Below are 20,693 nucleotides of genomic sequence, written 5' to 3' on the forward strand. Positions count from 1 at the left end.
AGAGATCCCCTTTTGGGAGGTCCAGTCCTAGCCAAGGGCCAGCTCCAGAGACTTTGGTCCATTTTCTCTAGAATGGACATGATACAGCTGTCTGAGTCAGGACTCTAGAATGTTCAGGACTGAGCCCTGCTGAGGACAAGAGGGAACAACATGCCATGGAGATCCTTGTGCAGCCTGGGCCTCTGACTGTGACCAGCTAGCACCCAGTGCCTCTTTGCTGGGTCTCTGGGCCCTGCTGGTTGCAGGAAAGGCCTCAGCCCAGGGATGGGATGGGCCCAGGCTCTGCGTGTTTCCTGGGAGGGCCAAAGGGTGGTGCCTCCCATAGCAGCCCAAAGCACAGTAGTCACTGCTGCTGCTTCTGCCCTGAGTCTGGGGGAGCCGGCATGTGGGGAACATGGGGGCTGGTTCTCCTGCGACAGGGAGGCAAGCAGCTGTGCCCTCCACTCCACACCACCCTGTTGGCAGCACATCCTTCAAGCTCAGGGTTGCTGGGAAGCTGGTCCCAGTGCCCTCCTGCTTCTCCTCCAGGCCTGGGGATTGCCAGGGATGCATGGGGCCACAGGTGAGCAATGCAATGGTTGCCAGACACCAAGGCTCCTGTTCTCTTTGCCACACTACCCCATTCCCTCCCTATCACAATGCTCTTCTGCAACCTCCGTCAAGATTCTCCTGTTCTCCCGACCCCCACCGTCAGATCTCCCAGCTATGGCTCCTCCTTCTGTTCCACCCATGACCCCACAGGAAGGTTGGTATTTGTGCCTTTGCCTCTCACAGAGCAGCTTGGGAGCTCCTGAGAGCAGGGCCAGAGTCTGACTTCTCTGGGTTAAGGGCTACTGATCTCAGCCCAGACCACATGTGGCTCTCCCCTGAGATGGGCACGTGGCCAGGTGAGCACAAGGTCACAGACACTCCAAAATCCACAGTCCACACCTAGGGCTACCATAATCGACCCAGAAATTCAGCTTCCAGGAATTTATCCTAATAATAGCCAGGTGAAGGGCAAAGGGCAGAGGGCAGGGTTGCCCACGCTAATGCTGCATATAAAACAGACACACTGGAAACTGTCCAGATGTCCATCTGTCGGGCACTGCTGCATGATTAATGTACACCCACATCATGAAACACTGGCCCCGGGTGGAAAGGCTGATGTTCATCTCTGTACTTTGACATGGACAGATGCCCAGGATACATGGTTAAGTGAATACAAGGGGGGAGTTCAAAACATTAAACTTTAATTGACTACAACATTTGTGTCATAGACACAGTGAATTACAACCTGGAGGGAAAATCCACCCTACTCTGCCCTGCCTAGGCCATTCGCAGACAGGTTTGCCTCCCAGTACTCAAGGGAGAAGCCCCTACACACAGAAATCTCAGAACACTCCTCATACCTCACTCAGTTAACTTGGTGGAAAAGTCTGGCTGTGTGCACGGGCAGACGGCAAGGCAGCCAGCAGCAGAACACTCCCCTCTCTAGAATGGCCTTCTCTGCACGAGTGCCCCGGAGCCCGACTGATCCAGTGCTGCGTGAGTGGGACAGACCCACCTTTGACTTCTGATCTCACGAACATTTCTCAAATGCTTTCTCTACTACAGGGAATTGCTAACCAAACTATTCAAACATGGCAGTGGGAAAGAATCTCTGCTTTTCAGCAGAGCCCCCAGGGGAACTCTGGGGACCTTCATTTTGTATTCAGGATAAAGCTCTGTAACTCCTTGTGTTGACCAGGCAGACCATCCACACCCGCTCCTCCTGGGGTGCTGTCTGGCTCCTGGGGATAGCTCAGCCCAGGCTGCTCCCTGAAAACTCAAGGAGCATCCTGGCTCCCCAGAAGGCATCACCAGAGGCCTGGCTATCAGAACACTGCACCTGGAAGACAACACAGTGGTAAACACAGAGGCTTCCTTTCCAGGCTCAAGACCTGCCCTCCCACCTGGGCACCTCCTGACCTTGGGAAGACCCCCCGCAACCAGTCTGGACTCAGGAGGGAATGTTGCCCCACAGCATCCCTCACCCCAGCTCCCAGTCCAGTAATGTCCAGCCACAAATCATCTTTGCCCCTTGTTTATCTTTGCCTGGTGTATTCACTCCAGTGGCACTAGCTGAACCCTCCTCAGCACCATGAGCTGCAGATCCAGGAGTAAAGAGGGAATCCTTCAGTGCTCATAGGGAAGCCTCACCTGGCTGGAGGGCAGGGCCTGGCTCAGCTCCATGGCAGACACAGGGCCGGGGAAGGCAGATGGGGCTGGGGCCAGCTCTGGAGGGCTGGAAAAGAGACAGTGTAAGAATAGGCCCTATCTCAAGGGGACACTGGGGTGACAAAATCCACCCAGCTGTGCTTTCTCCCTCATCAGGAGACATTCTAGTACTTGACACTCATCAGAACAGACTCTCTTCCTGCAGGGCTGTCACGTATGTAGGGTGTTAGGAGGGGAACATGTTACACAGAGAGCAGGGTCACCCGGTGGGTCATAGGGGCAACTGCACAGAGGGCTCAGAGCAGGGTCATGGAAGAGCCAGTGAACAGAAATGTGGAGGAAACAGAGACCTCAAAGGAGGAAGAGCCGGGATGCACGGCACAGTCACTCAGGACAAGGGGCGGTGGTTCTTCAGCAAGGTCAACGCATACTAGCATGTGACATGGCCACGGCACTCCTGGGCATGCACCATGAGAAATGAAGGCAGGTGTGCAGACTATACACATACAGGATGTTCACAGCAGCTTTATCTGTGATGCCCCCAAATCCCCATCCACAGGACAAGGGTGAAGAAGCTGTGGCACATCCACGCAATGGCACGTGGCTCCCCAGAGAGAGAAAGAACTGTTCACGCATCCAAAACATGGTGACTCTCAAAGTCGTCATGCAGAGCGAAGGAAGCCAGACCACAGCAAAACAAAGACCCGAAAATATACCGTATTTACATGAAATTCTATAAAATGCAGCTAATCCTTAGTGACAGAAGCAGATCCATGGTCCTGGGTGGCCAGGGAGAGGCGAAAGGCAGGAGGAGGGTACATTGAAGACCTTCATCACGGTGGTGGCCTCGTGTGGATGTGAAAGTCACACTGAGAAAATTCAGGTGCTCCGTCTACACATGTACAGCCAATTACACCTCAATGAAGCCACTTTTAACGAAGGAACTGATGTTTTCAGGTTGAAGCATGGCCTTCAGATCGGAACAGGGAGGCATGGGAGTTGGGGGAGCAAGAGAAGGGGTCGAGATGGCCATGTGGAGAGGTGAGGCGAGACACACAAGGGGACACCGTGGCCATGGCAGCCTCTGCCTGGTCTCAGCTCCCAGCCATGAATGGAAAAGTGAGTCCATCTGTGTGGTGTACATTTTCTCACAGTCAGGCTGTTTGAGCAAGCAGGCCATGTGATTTAGGGGCTGCTCCGCCTTTTCTCCTATGTCCCTCTGTAATTCTGCCCTCACTAGCATGAGCCTTGAGTCAACCTGGTTGCAGCTCCCTGATGAGGGAGACCCCACAACCTGGGGATCTGCTCTGCTCCTGGAGGCCCTAGTGTAGAGAGGATGGGGCGTCTGCTAGAACAGGAGTGGCGGGTGCGATAGCCTCCCCACCAGAGGACCCCAGGCCACCCTGCCCCAGTCCTCCATCCCTCCTGTCTCTGCAGGATCCCACCTGCTGGGCTGGCCCCGAAGGCCCTGGTCATCTTCTGTTTCTACAGCACTGACACTATCAACAGCAAGTGCTCACGGACGCTGTTCAAGACCCCAAGTCCCTTGAAAACTACAATTCAGAATATAAAATCAGGATCTTGATTCTGCCAGAAACTGACAGTGTTTGTTCAGGGAAAAGAAAGGCTGCTGGGGTCCAGGGTGATTTGGGGGTAAGGGTGAACCCTGATCATGTCCAATGCATGGGATGCCCACATCTGCTCTGATGTTTTGGGCTCTCCTGAGAGAAAAACTACCCTTTTCTTCATAGGTGTAGGCTTGTGGGGACTGTTACAGTTTTCAGCAATCCAAAGGAGAGGACCCTATCTGCACAGTCCGGGACGGTGAGTCTATAAACTGGGCATTACCCTATCTTGTGGCCTGTGGAAAGGACTGTCCAGGCCTGTGGCTCTTCAGGGCTTACCTCTGGGTGAGGATGAATTCAGGAGCTTGCAGTGGGGGCTGTGTCACCAGGAAGCTGCCCACCCGTAGCTCTGTCCGTCCACTGCTTGTGCCCAGACCCTCCTCCAATTGCACGCTCTGGGGATGGCCGCTGGGGGGGCCAGAAAACCCTGCATGTAATGAGATTCCACGGCACACTGGCAGGAGAAAGGAGCAGAGCCCACGTGTGACACAACCAAGACCTCAAAGCACGGAGGCGGATGCAGCCTCCGGCCCAGCCAGCCCGCGCCACGTGAACCAGACTCACGGTCCCTGGGCCTCAGTCTCCCTCTCTGAGGAAGGAACTGTCACAACCATTGATCTCAACAGCCTTCCAGGCTTCCAGAGACCAAGACACGGTTGCTTCTGCTGACTTTAAATGCTGCTGTCATCGCAGACCTCATGTGCCCTCGGTGCCAGTCAGAGTCTGCAGCTTGCTCCGTCCTGCTGGTGCGGAAGGATGTGCCAGGAGCCCTCAGTCTCCTCTTGTGGCTGGTTCACGGAGTGCTTGGCCACCAGCCCTTGGTGGTTTCCACTTTTACCTCTTACTAAGGTTACCAAGATGTCACTGAGGTATAAGCTGTCACTAGTTTCCCCTCCCTTTGACTTTCCAGAGCGTATCTCAGAACATCTCTCACTCTTAGACAAGCTACTGTGGTTTTGGTCAATTCTGGGTGGACATTTAGGAGAGCTGTGGCCTGAAAAGGCAGGTTTTTTCCTGCCCTGAGTCTACTAGGCTGTAAAACAAGCATTAAGATGGCCCTGATCTCAAGACATGGAACAAGCGGCCTGGGGGTGAGGCTCATGTGGTCCTCCTTCCTGTACAGCAGAGTGACCACCTAACCTGGTGCCCAGCTGCCCAGGGCCTTCTTAGGTTGAAGGGACCTTCCTGACCATGTGCCTGCTTTCTGCTATTTCCTCTTTCATGCAGACCTTACAGACACTCTGGAGAGAGGAAATAATGTTCAAGCACTAGTTTGGACATTCTAGTTCCATCCATCATAGTACAGCAATAGATTACGCATTCTCTTTCCAAGAGAAAGGGAAAGCCATGAGCACAATGTCCACAGTCGTGCAGTCAGGACGCAAGTGCAGCCCATGGTGATGGGGTGTCTGGCAGGGAGCTGGGGTGTGGGGCAGGGGCTGAGATTCCCAAGGAGCTCGGGAGGGAGAGCATCCGGGTACCCAGGCAGCAGCAGGGAACCCGAAGGCAGGGGTTTCAATAGACAGAACAAAGGAGTTCGCTGATTCCCACAGAACATCCCCCCTCACTTGAGCAGGCTCCAGGTCTGAAGACCAGCTCCTCTTGTCCCAATGTGAAGACACCCATTGACCGTCCCCACGCCAGCCTCGTCAGTAAGTACAGACAGGCAAATGTGAGTGTCCAACAGTTAAATAAAAAGGACAGCAAAAAATGGAAGGTCAGTATGATCAAACTGACAAGCCCTCTCCTGAGGCGCGAGCCCTAAGATCCCTTCTTCTTTCTGGCCCTGCATCAAGGAAGGGCCAGAATCCACAGTCCCAACAGTCCTGACTTCAGACAGTGAAGCACATTTAAAAAAATTATTATTAGGAACCTTAGAGAAGTGTAAGATATTGCATCCATAGAAAGTAACAATCTATGAAGGAAGAAGAGTTCAGAGATCAGTAAAGAAGGATTGAAATTCTCTTAAGATATACAGCAGTTGGCCGGGCGCAGTGGCTCATGCCTGTAATCCCAGCACTTTGGGAGGCCGAGGCAGGTGGATTACTTGAGATCAGGAGTTCGAGACCAGCCTGACCAACATGGTGAAATCCAATCTCAACTAAAAATACAAAATTAGCCAGCATGGTGAAACATGCCTGTAATCCCAGCTACTTGGGAGGCTGAGGCAGGAGAATCGCTTGAACCTGGGAGGCAGACATTTCAGTGAGCCGAGATCGCACCACTGCACTCCAGCCTGGGCAACAAGATCAAAACTCCGCCTCAAAAAAAAATATATATATATATAACTGTTAAAGCAAAAAATCAGAAGACAGAATTTAAGAAATACCCAAAACGCACATCAATAAAAAAATACAAGATAAAAGGTAAGTTCTTTGGGAGACTGGTCCCGGAGTTCCAACATCCAAATAACATTTGTGCTCTGAAGAGAGAGCTGAAAACATGGAAGCAGGAACTTATCAAAGATACGATCAAAGGATATTAGAAAAAAATGCCCAGAGCTTACAGGAGACTTTATTCTTTTTTTTTTTTTTTTTTGAGACGGAGCCTCACTCTGTCACCCAGGCTGGAGTGCAGTAGCGCAATCTCAGCTCACTGCAACCTCCACCTCCCGGGTTCAAGTGATTCTCCTGCCTCAGCCTCCCAACTAGGTGGGACAACAGGCACCACCACCATGCCCAGCTGATTTTTAAATATTTTTTAGTACAGATGGGGTTTCATCATATTGGCCAGGATGGTCTTGATCTCTTGACCTCATGATCCGCCTGCCTCAGCCGCCCAAAGTGCTGGGATTACAGGCGTGAGTCACTGCACCCGGCCAGGAGACCTTATTCTTTAAGATTAAAGTCTTAACAGCAAGATGAAGTAAAAAGACCCACAACCTCGGACCCTCAGCGTGAAATTTCAGAACTTTAAGACCCACCCCCCCAAAAAATAAGAAAAAAAGAATCTAAGAGCTCCAAAAAATTATGAGGGGGGGAAAAGCATTTCAACTCAGAATTCTGTCCTTGCAAAATTGTTAACCAAACTTGAAGACAGATTAAAGACATTTTTAGAACAAATGAGGACTCGGATAATTTATCTTGCAGGCACTCTTTCTTGCAAAGTTAACTGAAGCTGCTGGCTAACAAAACAAGGGAGTCAAATAAAGAAAGAACCAGACCTGAAATTCAGGACACCCTGGAGTAAACCCAGGGAAGCAGCATGGGAGCACTGGGGACAATAGCTTCACTCCAGGCCTAGGGAGCTGTCACTTGGAGGGGAAAGGGAAAATGGAGGGCCCCCAACAGTGAGTTTTCAGATGGGATGCTTCAAATGCTGGAAGATGTTAAAAATGTGATAAAAGCAGACAATGTAAAAAGAAAAAGGAAAGGCATGGAGAAGCTCCAAGAAGAAAAAAAAGCTGAAGAGAAAAGATGTATATACCCATAGAATATTAAATATAGGTAAATTTGGCTGGGCATGGTGGCTCACGCCTGTAATCCCAGCATTTTGGGAGGCTGAGGCGGGTGGATCCCTTGAGTTCAGGAGTTTGAGACCAGCCTGGCTAACATGGTGAAATGCTGTCTCTACTGAAAATACAAAAAATTAGCCGGGCGTGGTGGCAGGTGCCTGTAGTTCTACCTACTCGGGAGGCTGAGGCAGGAGAATCGCTTGAACCTTGGAGGCAGAGGTTGCAGTGAGCCGAGATCGTGACACTGCACTCTAGGCTGGGTGACAGACCAAGACTCCATCTCAAAAAAAAAAAAAAAAAAAAATGCTGGGCGTGGTGGCTCACGCCTGTAATCCCAGCACTTTGGGAGGCCGAGGCGGGCGGATCATGAGGTCAGGAGATCAAGACCATCCTGGCTAACAGGGTGAAACCCCGTCTCTACTAAAAAGTACAAAAAAATTAGCCAGGCGTGGTGGCGGGCGCCTGTAGTCCCAGCTACTCGGGAGGCTGAGGCAGGAGAATGGCGTGAACCTGGGAGGAGGAGGTTGCAGTGAGCCGAGATCACGCCACTGCACTCCAGCCTGGGTGAGCAAGACTCCGTCTCAAAAAAAAAAAAAAACAAAAACAAAAAAGAAAGAAAGAAATTTGGGTGAATTCATAGCTCCAGTTTCCTCCTTACAAAGTGAGAAGTCTCATGATTCTGGTGTACTGGATGGGCAAAATATACATCTAAATACATACTCTTTAAATGATTTTACAGCTTCAACGATAACTTAGAAGCTAAAATCATGGGATCTCTACTACAGGCTAAGGGGGGTGGACAAGCGGGGAGTCTAAGGAGCTCAGCCTTCTCTGCTGCACCCGGTGTTAATAGATAAATCAAGTGGACTGCAGTGGAGAGCACAGGGTGGCAGCTCTTTCCTTTCAACTCTTCCTCTTCAGTGATATGCATACATACACACACACACACACACACACACACACAATAAAACAGATGAGAAATAATCTGGGATGTTTGTGGGAAGAGTCTTTGTTCTGGCTACATTGGTTCCAGGTCTAATCAAATACCATGGGTTCAAGCCGTGTGGCCCTACCCACACTTCTATCCCCTCAAACAGGACCTGAGTAGTCACAGTGTCTGGTGCTGAAACTCATGGTCTGTCTGAAGTGGACCCACCTGTAGGGCTGGGATCTCCAAGGGTGGCAATGGACACAGCCACAGCGGTGTCTGCAGGGCCCATCATGAAGTCCAGCCCATGGCTGTGGACCAGCTGCCCAGTCTGGAAGGAAACTTCCTTGGAGGACGCCAGTGCAAGAGACATCAGCCAAGATTCAGGGGCAGCCAGAGAGGGGTTCAGCATGTCATTGCCAGCAGCCAGAGGGCAGAGGCCAGGGCCAGGGCAGAAGAGGGGGAGGGTGGCAGGATCATGGCCAGGCCCCTCCTGGTACATCTCGCCACCTGGCAGAGACCTGGGGGACATGGAGAACACTGTCTCTTGGTGGGCAGAGCCTCCCTCAGGGCAGGGCAGGAGGGAGCACAACGGTGCTCAAACAGTGCTGGTGTGCAGTAGGAACTCAAGAGATACTGGCTGGTATTAACTCAATGAAAAGCAAAACAGACAAAGTACTAGAAACAAACCACAGGGACAGCTGGGTTTGTCTTTAGGTGGCAGGGCTGCATGTGTTTCCTTCTAAGTCTGTTACCCCGTTCTCCAAGACAGACATGAACTCAGGTGATGAGTCAGGCTGCAGGAGCACGTGTGGGTTCAGAAGAAGCCACCCCCACCCCAGTCCCTGACGTGGGCTCCTTGCTGGTGGCTTCCCTCTCCCTGGGGTCTGACCTGATCCCAGTGTGGGGGTCCTGTCACCCTTAGGCCTACTTCATGCCCTAGTCTCCACCTGAGGAGGAAAGGGAACTGAATAGGTGAGATGATTCCATGGCCATGGAGATGACAGTACCTGACATCCAGTGGCTTTGAGACTGTCTCATCTGCGGGAAAGTCCGGGGCTAAGGCCAGTGGCTCCCATGGTCCTTGGGTGGTCTGTGGGGACTGTGGAGGCCCCTTTTCCTCACGTTCCTCTGAAAGTGATGAGATGGGAGGGGAGACTTAGTGAGGCTCTGGTTCCCAACCTCCTTCCCATCAGGTATGAGCAGCCCTGCTGGCTGGAAAAGGCTGTTGCCATGGGGCCATCCCAATGTTTTTGCTTCTTGTCCTGTCTTTGGTGTGAACCAACAATCCATAATTGCCAACCCAGGACACCCCAAATCCCGGTGCTTGGTTCACTTCTCAAATTGACTCACCAACTCCTCCTCTGGCCACACGATGCCCTCCTCTCCAGCCCAGCTCCTGGCCCGGCCACACAGTGACCTCAAAATGCATAGGGGCAGCCACAGCCCAGCCTGGGCATCTTGAGCCTCAGACCTCGGACCCTGTGATCTTGCTCCCACAGAGTGACACCTGGAACCTACTGATTGGAGGAGGGCTACCCCTGTAAGCAGTGTGACTACCTAGGCCTGGCCCTTGTCAGAAACCAGCTCCCCGACCACAAGGAGACTGGGGCCCTCAGGCCACTCACCTGACCACTGAGGCCTGTCCACAAACCCAGAGTCAACACGGGGGTTGCCTGAGGGCTGCAGGAGGTCAGGACCCCTCTCCCTCGCACCAGGGTCTTCAGCTGTGGCCTGCTGGGCTGGCTTCATGTGCTGGGGAAGGGCTCTTTGGCGGCGCCGGTAATTGGCAAACCAGTTGTACACCTGCTCAGGGGTCAAGCTCGTCTCCAATGCCAAGTTCTCCTGCCCCCAAACAACAAGACTTCTAGCCCTGCTTCCATTCCCTGAGGACAGGGGGTGTGCAGAAGTGGCTCAGACAGCTCATTTACACCAAGAAAGGGGGTGACAGCCCAGCCTAACCTCTCCAAGGACAGCAGAGAGCGGTGAGCATGAGCAGAACATGCAGGCCTCACCTCCCTGGGCTGATCCCCATCCCCTGAGCAGTGAGGCCCAGGTCAGGCTGTCTGCACAGCCACATGTGCACGTCCCCCTGAGTGGGGCCCTTGCTAGGTCCACCCAGACAACATGCCCAGGGCCACCCCAAGCCCCTGGAGGGGCAGGGCCTGCAGAACCACACTGCCTGTGCCTGGCACAAACCCACTGTGCAGTGGAGAGCATGTCAGCTGGCAGATGCCTCGACCCATCGTCCTGGTGCCTGGCACACAGTGGGTGCTGAGTGAGCAGCCGTGGGGCCACATACACAGATGTTATGACTCCACGTGAGAAAATGAAACCCTTTATGTGGCAGACAGGACAGTCTGCCAATCAACAAGGTCCCTGTCCAGAGGAGGGGCTGAAACCACCAGCACCCTGGCGGATGAGGCCACTGAGGAGCCTGGGGTGGGGGTACCCCTTGGGGGACAGGGAGGCACCAGGCAGGGACCCCCTGGGTCCTGGGTATCTTCTATTCTTACCCTCTCAGCCTTGCTGGGGTTGGTGTTCACCCCCACAGCGAAATTGTGCAGCTTCTCACGAACCTCTCTGGGGAAGTTCCGGCTCTTCAGCCCCTCTGGGCAGAGGGAGGGGGGCGGGGGGTTCCTGGGTAAGGACAGTGAGGAGGTGGTAACAGACAGGACCCCTCCAAATCTGTTCCCTTCTCCAGGCCTGGCCCTCTGCAGAAGGTGACACTTCCTTCCCTGTGCCTCCTCCTGGGGGATGCCTCTCTCTGCCTCCAGTTAGTGAAAACTAGAGTCTCTTCCACAGACATGCACAAACCCTGACAAATACTGTTCCAGAACATCTACAGGCCACTGTGAGGAGCCCTCTGTGGGCCCTTGCAGTGCTCCTGGGTGCATCTCAGCCCATGGAGCCCCGATGGATGGCCCTCCTGGACATCCTCACATGTAGACATCCTCATCCATGGAGGCCGCGTGCACAGCCTTCCTCGTACTCACACACAGGTGTCCTCAGCCCATGGAGCTCCCGTGGATGGCCCTCCTGGACACACACACACACTGTTGTCCTCAGGACCTGGCTGCCACCCTGGGTGCTTTTCCATTCAGTGCTTTCTGTTCATCGCTGGTTTCCAGGCATCAGCCCCATTCTTGCATGAGTCCTCTGAGGCTTGCAGCACTCACACCCCTGCCACCCTGCATGGCCACGCCAGCTTTCTCCCTTCGTCTCTCACCCCCAAGACCTCCTCCCAAGACTTAATGTCCTTGGGTGATCTGGCTCTCATTTCACCAAGATGTTCTCAGAAGAGAAGCACCACCTGTGCCCCCAGCAAACCTGCCAGCCCTTCTGCACTCCCCAAATGCCTGTGGGGCCCCTGGTGAGGGGAGGCTCCAGCCGTGGCACCTGCTCATCCCCCATCTCACTAAGAACACTCCCCTGAACTAATTCCCTGCTTGCCATCACCAGCATTTCTTCTAGTAAGTCATTCTCATGAGCTGCTAAGCTCTGTAAATTTCTCACCTCCAGTGGTGATCCCATGAGTCTGCTCCAGTTCCAGCTAAACTTCTCAAAGAATGATCTTGGATCACTGCCACTGTCTCCTTGTCTCTGTGACACACCTGGATCCTTGCACCTTGCCACTAAAAGCACTTGCCCAGCTCACACAATCCGAAGTTCATTTCTCAGCTCTCCTCTTAACTGGCACCTCCTCAGCCTCACTGGCTTCTGAACTCTGCACTGCTGGATTTCCTCTTCCTCTCACTGGCCATGTCTCAGCTGAATCTTCCTCATCCTCCTCTGGGCTGCAAAGTCCCAGAGGTCTGTCCCCTGAACACAGAGGACCCCTTTCTCTGTGCGCTCCCAGGATTTCAGTATCAGTCACAGAGATGACAAAGGGATGCGTGTCTGAGCAATGCTGGAGTTGGACACTGGGGGTGTTCCAGCTGGTTATGCTCCTCTCTAGTGCTGAGCAGATTTGAATATTTCATAAGGAAAAGATGATATATGCACCAATATTACTTGTCTGTAGAAGGTGTGTCATCCCAGTGCCTACTTGGACATCTAAAATGCATCTCGCACATCATGAATCCCAAAAGAACTCCATCCCCCCTCTCCAGACTTTTCCCCAGCTCCTGTGCATCTCAGTGAAGGAACCCTCATGCTCCTGGTGGTTCCCACATAGGCCAAGAGCCCTGGAGTCTACTTTAGCCCTCTCTTTACCTCCTGCCATGTGTACAGCCCATCAGCAAACCCCCCAGCTCCACCTCCTGTGTCAGGGTACTGACACAACACTCTCCACTTTCCCCAGCCACGATCCCAGCCCTGGGCATGCCTGGAACCTCCTAGAAACTCCAGCATCTACTCCTGATCCCTGTATCTGCATCTTCTGTGACTCAGATGCCATCCCTTCCTGACACCACCCGGGAACCATCAGCATGGTCATAACCCAATCCAGCAGCTACCATGGCTGCCGGCTCAATGTCCTCCTGCTGCTCATCAGCCTCTAAGGCAGGGTGAGCGAATCCATTCCAACACCTGCTTTTACATTTTTCAAGGGCTGTGAACACATACACCCCAAAATACTTCCCATCTGCCCCTGAACACCAAGCTTCTCTGATCCCAAGTCTTTGAATGTGCTGCCCCTTCCCAGAAACTTCTGCTCACATGGCTGACACATCACCATACTCAAGACTCTCCTCCAAGACTAGGACCAGCCTGCACTGACCACCCCATCTAAAGCAGCCAACCTTGCACAGCCCTCTTCTGGACATATTCTCTGCATAGCACTTCTCACTCTCTGAATTATGTGACCTACTTTATTTTCTTGTCTGTTGACTATTGTCCACATCCCAATGTCAGTTCCATGGAGGCAGAGCCTGGCCTTCATCCCCAGCACCTCCCAGAACCCAGCAGGCAGGGGGTGCTTAACAAACATGTCGACAAGATGACACCACTGCACTCTGGCAGGTGTCAGCATGCCCGTGGGGGGCTACAATCACATCCCCTGAAGACCCCACAGCTGATTTACTGCTGGGCTTCTGACGACTTGTCTTACTCTGTCACTCTATTTGATGGGTACCACGCAAGAAAATTCTCTGAGCCCAAAAGGTATCCATGTCTTCTTCCTTCAGCGACCAGTATTCTTACCGACCAGGCCCTGTGGCTCAGGAATCTTTCATGACTTGGGCTGTCAGGAGTTCACAGCAAGATCTACAGCCCTTTCCTGACCAGTGGAGAGCACCTGAGATGAAGAATAAGGCTCCCCGGAGTTTGAGACCAGCCTGGGAAATATAGCAAGACCCTGTCTCTACAAAAAATTAAAAATTAGCTGGGCATGGTGGTCACAGCTACCTGGGGGGCTGAGGTGGGAGGATCGCTTGAGCCCGGGAAGTTGAGGCTGCAGAGTTGTGACCGCCCCACTGCATGCTAGTCTGGGCAACAGAGCAAGACCCTGTCTCAATTTTTTTTTTAAAGGCTCCAATTTCTCAGTGTCTGGGCTAGCGTCCTGGCTTTGCAACTCTCTCTCGTGTGGAACCTCAGGTTACCCTTTCTGTGCCTCCGTTTCCTCATCCATAAGTGGTGATGATGGTGATAATAAAAATTACTAGTAACATTTATTTAGTGCTGATAATGGTGGCGATGATAAGGACTACCACTTATTTAGTGCCTATCATGTGCCTGGCACTATTCTGAGCGCCTGACATGTAACTCATGCTAACACTGGCAACATTCTCACCCTTAACTCTTTGAAAGGCCTTGCAACCCCTCAGTGGCCACCCAGAGCCCAGATTGTGGGGATTAGATGACCTGGGGACACATGTTGAGCTGTTCCCACCTGCCCTCCATCTCCACTGTCCCTGGCCCAATAGCCCCCTTTCTGGCCAGTCCCTGGGTGGATGCTGGGCAGAGATGATGAGGATGCCCACCTCCTGGCCTTAGCCTCAGTCACCCTGTGGTCAGCCATCCGTTTCCAGCCATCAGCTGACTGAAGTGGCTGGTGGAGAGTGTAGCTCAGTGACCAGCATCCAGCACAGGTGTGACACACACTGAAGTCATCTTATGCTGACTACACTGTGACTATTACTGCTCCGGCGGACATTTCCTGTCCCTATCTCCTCACCTCCACTTTGCTTCAGCCCCTCTGGGCTTTGCATGGTACATCTAATCCCTTGGGATCCCCATGAAATATGCACAAGTAAATGCTTGTAGGTTACCTCTTCCTGCAGCGGAACTTCTGCACCGGGGTGAGCGCAGCCACGCCCAGCCTCCTCATGACCAGACGGTAGTGGATGTCGTTCCAGAGCTGCACTAACTCCTGGCTGCCTCCCGGCACCTGGCACCCCTGCCAAGAAGAGTGTACTGAGCCCTGGCCACCTGCCCACCCTGGAGCACTGTTGGGACCTGCATCTGCCATCCCAAACCGACTCAGCCTTGGGGAAGGCAGTGATGGGAAGAGCAGGGTTCTGGGTTCAAATTCACTGATTTTACAAAGTGCCAGTGTGGCCACACAATGCAGGCATGAGTCAGATGGCCCCCGCTCCATTCCTAGCAGGCTCAGCGGTGTGACCCTAGGCCTGCCAGGTCACCTCATAGACCTTGGGCAGATGCACTCACATCAGTCTTGAATGGGCCCCTTCCTTTAAACCTTCAACCCTCCCCAAAACACAAGATAAGCACAGCTCCCAGCTGTACCTCAAAGGTAAGGCACATGTGGCAAGGGGAAGTCCAGTGACTCTCTTTTGGCCAACAGCAAAGGGGAGGTGGAGCAGTGGTTATAACCACATGGTGCGATTTGAGGGCCTGATGTCTGATTCAAGTCTTACATGAAAGACCTTTGTCTCCCAGCAGCAGTGCTGGTCCCTCAGGTACTCGGCACAATCTAAGGTGAGGGGGATGAAGGGGTCCCTGTCTGTGGCCAGTACACCCATCCACTTAACTGGACTTTGCTGATGACGGAGGATGCCTGGTGCTGGTCTCCCGTGACTCCTGTGTGGCTCCCACCATTTCCTTAATTCCAATCATCTGCCACAGGAGTGATCCCTGTGGCCCCACACTGGCCTTTAACTACGATGCTGCCTGGACCATCCTGGCGAGGGAGGTGCTGAGAATCATTCAGCTTTCTCTCTGAGGCATCAGAGAGGCCCAGTCTTGCTCGGCAGTGACCCCTCAGAGCCGACGGCTCTGTGCCCCACTCTCCTCTCAGCACGCGGCCTTCAGGGAACCTGCATGGGAACTTCCCCCTGCCCTGACGTGGGGGCAGGAACACCCTGCACAGGCTGGGGTTGCCACCCGTTCTTGATGTGGTGGTCCCTTCATGCCTCCCAGGTCTCAGCCGCAAGTCACCTCCTCAGACGTACCTGTGGGTCACCCTGACTGAGCTTCTAATTCCTCTGCAGGGGGTTTTCATCACTGATGCCAGTGGTTGCCTTCACGGCAGTCATTACAACTCTAACTCTGCACTCTCTCGTTTGTTTACTTCATTTATTTTGACAGATTTGAAAGACCTGGAGCCCTGCTAGGTTCTAGGTGTCGTGCTGTGTGTCAGCCAATCTTGCAGTGAGAAAGGCTGTGGTGGCCCTGCCTCATGGACCTTCAGTGTAGTAAGGGAGGCAGATTGACAAACAACCTTCTAGTTACAAACAGAGGCAGGGACAGAAAAGGGGTAACGGGGGGGCAATACTGGAGAGTGAAGGAGGCACCACCTCCCTGGGCTGACATTTAAAGTAGAAACCAGAAGGGTAGGTAGGCACTGGCCACACGGAGAGCCAGGCGCCAGCCTCTAACAGAGGAAAGACACCTGCAAAGGCCTTGGGACAGGGAAACATCTCGGGAGTTGGAACGGCAAGGAGACTGGTGTGGCCACTGCAGAGGAGGCTGGGAGGAGTCAGAGGTGAGAGGACAGCAGCAGGCTCAGGCCCCGGATCTGGGAGCCACTGCTCAGGGGCACACTGTGATACCATTTGCATTGTAAAAACTCCCTCTGGCTGCTGTGTGAACAGGTGGAGGGGACAGGAGGACACCACACTAGCTTGGTGAGGGGTTGGAAGGAACCGAGTATCTTGAAGGTAAACTCACAATGAATTATGTATGGACTGTTTTACAGGGTCAAAGAAAGGAAAAATAGGCATTCAAATTCCTTTTTGGAAACCCTTTGGGCCACGTTTTCTGTGATTCAGAATTTTTCAGATTTCAGCAAGTAACGCAGGCATCCAGCACACGACATGCACCACTCAGCACGACCTGGGGCAGCATCCTGTCATCAAGCATACTCTTATTTAGGCAGCAAAACGTACAGTGGTCACATTAGTTGGAACAATAAACACTATAAATAGCTTCAGATCAGCACAGGTCAGGTTCAGTGCCTAATGCGTTGAGGTTGAAGGTACCAGCAGGTGAGTGAGAGATACTTTTGGTTTTCAGAGTTCTCCATTGCAGACTTGCGGCCGGGGAATGAGAAGGGGTCTGTCTGAATGCCTTGCTAAGATGCTGGCTCTCCAAAGACAGGACTGCATTTTATTCACTCACTTTATTGGCATCTTGCCTGTCACAGATCACCACTCAATAGGGATTTGCCAAATGAGTAGTTTTAACTCAGATTACCAAACTAGTTAGAGCTTAGTAATGTGAGAGCGGAGTAAGGTTACATAAAACCTGCCTCCCAGGTTTTTCCAAGGCCTGGGGGTGGGCCTCTGGCCAGTGGGTTCCTACTAACTCCTGGGTACTGCTGCAGTGCCGGAGATGGGTGGAGGCTGCCTAAAGAAGTTGCTACCTCTCTCTGTACCCTACCCCTGTAGCCCAGGCCTACCTCCAGGAGGCGGCAAGCCGCCTGCTGCTGCTCCTGCTGGTCCAGGACACGGGCGCACGCCAGGGCCACATCTGCGTTGTCCAGGAGATGCAGGCGGAGCTGGCTGTCCAGAATGGCTGTGACCAAAGGCTGCAGTTGGGCAAGGTCATCCTGGAAGTCCCGGCACAGTCTGCCCGCAAGGGTCACCAGCTCCGCCGGGGGTGCACAGGTGTCCTCATGCTCCTTCAGCAGAGTCAGGAAGCTCTGCATCCTGTGCTGGGTCGTGGCCACTCTGCCAACACAAACAGTCACAAGAATGGCCACCACTGACCACGTCCTTTCTGTCAGTCAATCGCCCAACCCACTCTGCAAAGCAGGTGATGCACGGCTCTTGTGCCGTGGACACTTGTAGAGTAGGAATAAGACCTCACACATCCCGAGAGAGGGCAGCACCATAGCATACACCCTCTAGAATTTCCTTCTAATCCCCCAAATACTTTAGTCCTTAACGAACACGGCTGTGCACCAAGCACTGGGCTGGGTACTGTCTGCAACAGCTCCTCCACTGCTCTGGGCTCAGTAGGGTAGGGACCTTGTGTGCAGGGGTCACCAGTGGATGCCAAGGCCTTTCATCTGAACCCACATACATGCACTTGTTTTAACAGCAGAAACTGCTCACGCCAATACTTAATCCAAACAATGTCAAAGACACACTTTGCAATCACACGCTTGGTCCTGCATCCACACAGGAGGAACCTTTACTTGTTCTAACGGTGCCTCACCTAAGGACATTCAGGCAGCTGCCAGTGACTGCTTTTCCCAACAGAAAACCCTCCCCAATCGATCTTACTTCTGCGGAATACACTTTTATTCACAGAAGTAGGGGCAGGGTAGTAGGTGTTGCCAAACTGCTTTCCAAAAGGTTTGTAAATCCTCACAGCCGCGAAGAACCAGGTAGGCTGCGCGCTCCCTGGCGAGGGGTTCTTTCTGCCGTGCGCCCGCCAAGGGGACGCGACCTCGTCTACTCCACCCGTTCCCGGGCTCTAGCGCCATCTCACCCGGGTCCTGACTCGGGGCTCTGAGTTTCCAGCTGCCACAGTGGGCAGGAGGCCCTGGACCTGGGGTCCCTTGGGGGAACAGAGCCTGCAGGGGCCTTGGAGGAGGGCAGAGGAGGCTCCCAGGCCTGGGTTTCCTGCAACGCCGACCCCCACCGGCTCTGGGAGGGGCGGGGTTCCTGCCACTTCAGGAAGGAAAAAGGTTCCTGTGGGGTACCTTGGCCTGTCCGCCCGGTGCCCTGAGGGGCACCCGGCTCCAGCTGAATGGAGGGGAAGGGTCGCGGGAGGTGGCTCTGCTTGGCTTCCTGACTTTGGCGGGACCCCCGCCCATGGCCCCCAGCCCCCCTACCTTTCTGGCACGCTGCTCCCTGCGGAGGCCGAAATTCCTGCCTGGGGCTCCAGCCTGGGAGGCTCCACCCTCAGCCCCACCCCGGCCCCCGCACCCCTCACCCTCCGGGGCCCCCCTTACCCTCAGGGACTCCTGCCCTAGCGCCCCTCACCTTCCGGGACCCCCCGCCTCCGCGCCCCTTATCCTCCAGGACCCCCCCCGCCTGCGCGCCCCTCACCCTCTGGGACCCCCGCCCCCGCGCCCCTCACATTCCAGGCCCCCCCTGCCCCCGCGCGTCCCTCATCCTCCCGGACCCCCCTGCCCGCGCGCCCCTCACCCTCCGGGACCCGCTTCAGCGCCGGCGCACGTGCTTGGCGCGCACCCGGGGCTGGCGAGGAGGCGCTGGGCAGCACAGAAGGTGCGGGTGCTACAAAGTATCCAGGCTCGCAGCCAATCCCGCGAGGCCCCGCCCACAAGGCGTCCCGGGGGCCGGCGCCCCTCAGCCCCCGATGCGACCGCGGAGTCCGGGGGAGCTGAGGGGTCCGTGGGGGATCTGGTGTCCGTGGCATCTGCGGGTCCGAGGAGTCCCGGACGACCTGGGGTTTCTGGGGTGTGCGGTGCGGGGTCAGAAAGGCCTGGAGCTTTGCGTCCTCGAGCGCCGGAAGGAGCAGGCTCTGCGGGGCGCGGGGTGCGGGGTTGGTGGGGGAGGGCGCCGCGACCCCCGCCCTGCAGCGGAGCCGAGGGAGTCGTGACCCACGGCTGACCCCGCGCCGCCCGCCCTGGCTCTGGCGCCGGCGCAGGCGCAGCTGAGTCAAACTGGGGTCGCGGCTCGGTGGGGCGCAGCGCTTTCCTAGCGCGGGGGAGGAGGGCGCCTCTGGAACGCAGACCCCCAGGGGACGCGCCTGGGTCCAAGCGGAGTTCCGACTTCAGCCTCGGCGGGGGGCTCCACCCAGGTGGGCCCTGCGGGTGGCTCCCTCAGGGGAAGCCTAGGGCAGCCTGACCACGGCTGACCTCCGTGACCACCGGCGTTCCGGGCACCACGGGGCGATCCTGGGGTGGGAGTGGGGTCCTCGCAGACCTGGTCAAAAGGTGGCTGGGAAATGACTGAACACCCCAAGTCCTGGCACGGGTGCAGTCCAGCCTCTGCCCTTGTGGAGTTTATAGTTTTTTTGTGGGTTTGTGGCTTTTTTTTTTGTTTTTGGTGTTTTATACAGTGAGCTCGGAAGTTACCCGGAGACCTTGAATTGTTTGTTTAGAGGCAGGGTCTCGCTCTGTGGCCCAGGCTGGAGTGCGGCGGCGCGATCAGAGCTCACTCCAGCCTCAACCTCTTGGGGTCAAGTGATCCTCCTGCCTCAGCCTCCCAGACCACAGGTGCGTGCCACCGTGCCCGGCCTTGAGTTGGTTTTCAAAGGTAGTGAAGGTCTAATTGGAAGGAAAAAAGTCAATACACGCATAAGACACAGGATAAACATTTCAGTGTTTGTTCCAGTGAAGATGTGAAAACAGCCCAAGCCTCTGGTGGAAGATTTGAGAAATAAACCACGGTTGAGACAGGGGATGGGTTCCTGGCAGGTTATTAGTAGTGATGCTGAGGTCGCTGGGGCCCAGCTGATGATCGCGATACATTGTACAGCAGAAGGCTGGCTTCTAAGACAGAGGTAGGAGCCCACATGGAAAGCAGAGATAAAATGATGCATGCCACATCCTAAACCCTGGTGGGTCTGGGGTGATTCAATTACCACTTTGTTTCAGTATCTTTTGTAGGCATTTTAATTTTCTTCTTTTTGCTTATCCACATTTTCTTTTCTTTTTTTTTTTTTTTTTTTTTTTTTTTTTTTGAGATGGAGTCTCACTCTCTCGCCCAGGCTGGAGTGCAGTGGCGCGATCTTGGCTCACTGCAAGCTCCGCCTCCCGGGTTCACGCCATTGTCCTCCCTCAGCCTCCTGAGTAGCTGGGACTACAGGTGCCCGCCACCACGCCCGGCTAATTTTTTTGTATTTTTAGTAGAGACGGGGTTTCACAATGTTAGCCAGGATGGTCTTGATCTCCTGACCTTCTGATCTGCCCACCTCGGCCTCCCAAAGTGCTGGGATTACAGGTGTGAGCTACCGAGCCTGGCCACTTATCCACATTTTCTAATTTTTATAAAATAATTTTGTGGTTTTCTATTTTTAAATTTCTTTTTAAGAAGTGGAAAGAACAGGACAACAGGGTTGTGGAGAAGCAGTACTGACTGACGGAGTCTATTGGGACTGGAGCCCCCTGTTGGGGGTGGAGAACAGACTGCAGCTGTCTGAGATACAGAACAGAATAGAGCGATAGTCC

General features: G+C 54.1%; 1 protein-coding gene across 9 annotated transcripts; it reads right to left on the reverse strand.

Annotated features, from left to right (window-relative positions):
- Window positions 1–1,210: 1,210 nt before the first annotated feature.
- On the reverse strand, window positions 1,211–18,776 carry ANHX (anomalous homeobox). Of its 9 annotated transcripts, none has more exons than NM_001372060.1 (10): window positions 18,706–18,776; window positions 17,007–17,277; window positions 14,416–14,543; window positions 10,723–10,846; window positions 9,835–10,051; window positions 9,217–9,337; window positions 8,435–8,727; window positions 4,104–4,251; window positions 2,182–2,266; window positions 1,211–1,870 (listed from the first exon to the last, which is right to left on the reverse strand). In NM_001372060.1, exons 2-10 carry the CDS (start codon window positions 17,253–17,255, stop codon window positions 1,784–1,786), a joined length of 1,452 nt encoding a protein of 483 aa, NP_001358989.1. In that variant the 5' UTR covers window positions 17,256–17,277; window positions 18,706–18,776; the 3' UTR covers window positions 1,211–1,783. The 9 variants fall into 9 exon arrangements, 8 of the variants coding, with proteins under 8 accessions (NP_001358989.1, XP_006719806.1, XP_011533120.1 ...); XM_006719743.5 differs by having other exon boundaries at window positions 4,104–4,278; XM_011534818.3 differs by lacking the exon at window positions 18,706–18,776 and adding an exon at window positions 17,768–18,384 and having other exon boundaries at window positions 4,104–4,278.
- Between the last annotated feature and the right edge of the window lie 1,917 nt (window positions 18,777–20,693).

Source organism: Homo sapiens, chromosome 12 (assembly GCF_000001405.40).
Source record: "Homo sapiens chromosome 12, GRCh38.p14 Primary Assembly".
Classification (NCBI taxonomy): Eukaryota; Metazoa; Chordata; class Mammalia; order Primates; family Hominidae; genus Homo; species Homo sapiens.